The sequence below is a fragment of the Homo sapiens genome, chromosome 7 (assembly GCF_000001405.40).
Source record: "Homo sapiens chromosome 7, GRCh38.p14 Primary Assembly".
Lineage (NCBI taxonomy): Eukaryota > Metazoa > Chordata > Mammalia > Primates > Hominidae > Homo > Homo sapiens.
Window position 1 is genome coordinate 48144814 of NC_000007.14, and position 4927 is coordinate 48149740.

The window sequence follows — 4927 nt, forward strand, 5'->3', positions numbered from 1 at the left end:
ATATTTAGCTCATAAGGAGCTGGACAACTCGAATCAGGTGGTGGGGTCTGGGCAACTTCCAGGCTATAGGTAAATTTAAACATTTTTTTTTTTGAGACAGAGTCTCACTCTGTTGCTGGGCTGGAGTGCAGTGGCGCTATCTTGGCTCACTGCAACCTCCAACTCCTGAGTTCAAACGATTCTCCTGCCTCAGCCTCCCAAGTAGCTAGGACTACAGGGGTGTGCCACCATGCCCAGCTAATTTTTGTATTTTTAGTAGACATGGGGTTTCACCATGTTGACCAGGATGGTCTTGATCTCTTGACCTCTTGATCCACCTGCCTCGGCTTCCCAAAATGCTGGGATTACAGATGTGAGCCACCACACCTGGCCATAAACTCTGCTTTTTTTTTTTTTTTTTATCTTGCCCAAATTCCTATCTAAGTGGTCAGGGGAGTCATGCCCTACAAACCATAAATTCTCATCAGATTGGTTTTATTTAATCCTATGTATTGTGACTTACTTTCCAACCTACTCTGGCATAACATTATGAGACAAGGAACAAAATCAAAATATTTTATCCCAAAAACATGTTTCTTTGTCACATTTTGAAATGGCCCTGCAAGCTGTCATTTGTGGGGAAAATTTGCCTCTGGAAAGAATATCTATTAAGATAAACAGACCTTTTCCTTCCAGGCCCTTCCAATTCTGAATCAGTTAACTAAGAGTCTCACACCTTTTAAAAGGTCTTAATAGGAAGCATTTGTCATCTATTGTTTCTAAGGGCAGCTGCTATGAGACTTCAAAAGAGTCTTGGTCTCCACAGTCTTTTATCTTAACCTGAACATTTCCTTTCTATTGATCCCAGGTCTTTAGACAAACTCAACCAATTGTCAATCAGAAAATGTTTAAATTTACCTATAGCCTGGAAGCTGCCCAGACCCCACCACCGGATTCGAGTTGTCCAGCCTTTCTAGAACAAACCAATAAGCCAATGTATTTCTTAAATGTATTTGATTGAAGTCTTATGTCTCCCTAAAATATATAAAATCAAGCTGCACCCCCGCAACCACCTTGGGCATATGTTCTCAGGACCTCATGAGGGCTGTGTCATGGGCCATGTTCACTCATATTTGGCTCAGAATAAATCTCTTTGAAGATTTTACAGTTTGACTCTTTTCGTCAACACTCAGGATAAATCTCTTCAAATATTTTACAGAGTTTGACTCTTTTCATCATCAGTGTGTTCCACTAATCCAGATGACTGGGGATGACTGGCACAAGGAAAATGTTGTAGAACGGGCCATATTTCACATGCTGACTGGATTGTTTGTCCAATAAAATGAGTGTCCCATACACTCATAAAATAAGTTCATTTGAGAGAAAGTCCCAAAGTTGAAATTATTTTTTTCTAAGGGAATTTTACTTATGGCCAAAGGTGATGGTGGTAGGCGAATAAACTCTAGTTGCCATACCTCCTTTCATGCGTGTCCATGTGAAGAGACCACCAAACAGGCTTTGTGTGAGCAACATGGCTGTTTATTTCACCTGGGTGCAGGCGGGCTGAGTCCGAAAAGAGAGTCAGCAAAGGGAGATAAGGGTGGGGCAGTTTTATAGGATTTGTGTAGGTAAAGGAAAATTACAGTCAAAGGGGGTTTGTTCTCTGGTGGGCAGGAGTGGGGGTGGCAAGGTGCTCAGTGAGGGTGCTTTTTGAGCCAGGATGAGCCAGGAAAAGGACTTTCACAAGATAATGTCATCACTTAAGGCAAGGACTGGCCATTTACACTTCTTTTGTGGTGGAATGTCATCAGTTAAGGTGGGACAGGGCATATTCACTTCTTTTGTGATTCTTCAGTTACTTCAGGCCATCTGGGCATATACGTGCAAGTCACAGGGGATGCGATGGCTTGGCTTGGGCTCAGAGGCCTGACACCTCCAATCAGCCTTTAAGGAAAACAACCTTGATAACTGTGTAAAGGTTTCCACGGATTATGTTTTGGGCAGGGATTTTTACTCACACAAAGGGTGGGTTCAATTGCTTGGTGGGTGACAGTTCACTTGAAGTGGCATTGATGTCTGGGGTAAATACCAGAGGTTCGTTGTCTCACAGGAGGGAAATCAAGGACGTGAACATACAAAAAGTGAGTTTAAGAGTGGAGGTTTAATAGACAAAAGAAAAAGAAAAGAGAATTGCTCTCTTTCTTGCAGAAAGAGAGGAGCTCCTGAGTGGGTTTTCTGGACCACTGCATAGTGCATGGGGTCTTATAGACTGGCTTGAGTAGGAAGTGTCTGATTAACATGGGGCCAAAAGATTGGTTGGACCAGGTGTGCCATTTACATAGCATGCAAAGAAGATGACCACCCCACCCTAATCTTTTATTATGCAGCTGGGTTCTCTACCTGGCCAGCGCCCTGTTGTCTGCTCCTTACTGCACACATGGTTGACAAAGAAAAGAGAAGATGTTGGGAAAACCAGCCCCACACCACCCGGTGGGTACCCTGAGTCCAGCGGAGGCAAAGGAGTTAGAAAGAGACAGAATAAGAGTTTAAAAGGCAGGTTCAGGAGACCTGAGTGTCAGAGGCTTGCTCATGGCCCAGAGTTCTCGGGCTCCACCTAATTTATTGGTTTACAAGCTCTTTGTTCTTAGGGCAGATGGGAGGGGGAGGAAGGGATGAGGAAAAGGATTAATCAGTGAAGGAGAACTCTTGAGTCATTCAATAAGATGTAGAGCAGTGGTGGTTTCTGTGAATTTCCTGAGCAAAGGCATGTGTCTAAACTACTAAGATCTTTAAGTTATCTGGACTGAAATGGGTGGGAGTGGGTTTCAGGAGGAGCCAAGATGTTTGATTATACTCCACTGCTTCAAGGGAGTGTTATCTCCCTGAGCAACCTGTGGAATGCCGCGGAGCTGTTATGCTCTCGGGCATAAAGACATGAAGGCAATAAGGAGACTTTTCTCCTCAGAGGCCGCCCATGGCTCCCCCTGGGTGTCTCACACAGGGGAGACCAACTCATCTGGCACCCTAGAAACTCTCTTTCCCACAGAAGATGGAGCCACCATGTTGAACATGCCTAGCCCCCAGGTAGCCTTTTCCTATTGGCACAGCTGCTGACATTCACCTGTGCAAGCTCCCAGCTTGCTTATCTATGTTTGCAGCTCGATTTTACAGGCTGCTCTTTGTTAAAAAAAGAAATGATTTGGCCGGGCTTGGTGGCTCACCAAGGCTGAGGTGGGTGGATAACTTGAGGTCAGGGGTTCGTGACCAGCCTGGCCAAACTGGTGAAACCCTGTCTCTACTAAAAATACAAAATAATTAGCTGGGTGTGGTGGCATGCGTCTGTAATCCCAGCTACTCTGGAGGCTGAGGCATGAGAATCCCTCAAACCCGGGAGGTGGAGGTTGCAGCGAGTCAAGATCATGCCACTGCACTCCAGCCTGAGTGACAGAGAAAGAACTTGTCCAAAAAAAAAAAAAAAAATTGGGGGCTACTTTTTATTAAAAGGAATACCTTACCAAGGATTCTTACCCTCACTATCTGCCTAAATAATTTCTTTTTAACTCCTGTGTCACAATGACCACAACCAAGGAGGATTTAACAGGGGTTTTGTTATTTGTAACAAGTAAGGAGGACACCAGGCATAGTTCCTAAAGCAGTGCTTCCCTGAGCGATGGTGGAAACAGGGCTTTTACTGGGCTGGTGAGCTGAGTCATTGTATGTAGAGGTAAAGTCAAGTCAGTGCAGGTGCAGTTGCTAATCATGCTACTACACACATCGCATGTATAGGAAAAGTTGAGTAAGCTCCTCCCTGGGTGAGGATTTTAGTATGGTAATGAGGGGAGTTCACTGAAGTTCATTTCCAAATCTAGCATCTCTGGATCCAACTGTTTTTTGTTTTTCAGGTGCTGGGCTTCTTCATGGAATTCAAGGTGCAATAGTTACAAGTGGGTAGTTTTTCACAGTGCTACCCCAAAACTGGGGACCCAGGGTTACAATGCGGCAGCACTTGTACTTCTTATGAGCCACAGTTGGACCGAGTTTCCTATTATATTGTTTGCCCCAAGCAATCAAATGATTGGGGCTTCAAAGAGTTAAATCTTGCATATAAATTAAGAAAGATTACTATAATTTGATTGGGAGTATGGGTAGACCATTTGGTCTATACCATAGCCCAGTTTCAGAGGAGTGTGTTCCCCCTTTTGTTTCCCAGTTTTCTTTTTGTTTTGAAACACCCTTGGCAATGTAAAGCATTGAAGTGCTAGATGTTACTTTTACAAGTCCTCAGAGTGTGCATTATGTAACTGCTTGCCTCCTCAATCCTGTAATCCTTCCCCCTGTTTGTGATGGCTTTCACCCTTCCTTCCTTTTCTTCCTTTTCCTTTTCTTCCTTCCTTCATTCCTTTTCTTCCTTCCTTCCTTCAGTCCTCCCTTCCTTTCTTCCTTCCTTCCCTCCTTCCTTCCCTCTCTCCCTCCATGCATTCTTCTTTCCTCTCTCTCCCTTCCCCTCCCCTCCTCTTCCCTACTACTCATCCTTTCCTTCCTTTCCTTTTCCCTTTCTCCTTTCCTCCCTCCCTTCCCTTTTTTTTAAAAAAAATGGATCATAATATATTTTTCTGACATTTAAACCTGTAACTTAAAAAATTTTAATAATTAAAAAGTTATATCTGTAAAATGTCTCTAAACTTTAAGCAATTGCTGAAAACTTCAATAGCATTCAGTCTAGCAAAAATTTTGCAAAACTGGAAGGATTTTTCTCATTTCATAATATGAAAAGCCAAAAGAATTCACTTTGTATCTAATTAATATATTTAAATTAAAATATACTATAGAGCCAGAATATGAAATAGAATATTAAGAAAAAGTACCAGCTGGTTATTGAGAAGTGAAGGAAAAGGTCACTAAACAAATTGTGTAAACTCTAAAGTGATACAGATTAATAATGGAAAGA

General features: G+C 42.9%; 1 annotated feature.

Moving 5' to 3' along the window:
* Positions 1799–2439: an enhancer, noted in NCBI's record as "OCT4-NANOG-H3K27ac hESC enhancer chr7:48186209-48186849 (GRCh37/hg19 assembly coordinates)". NCBI's record gives its function as "activates a minimal SCP1, AML or CMV promoter by ChIP-STARR-seq in naive H9 embryonic stem cells {active_cell/tissue: H9 hESC(naive)}" and the evidence as "EXISTENCE:reporter gene assay evidence [ECO:0000049][PMID:30033119]".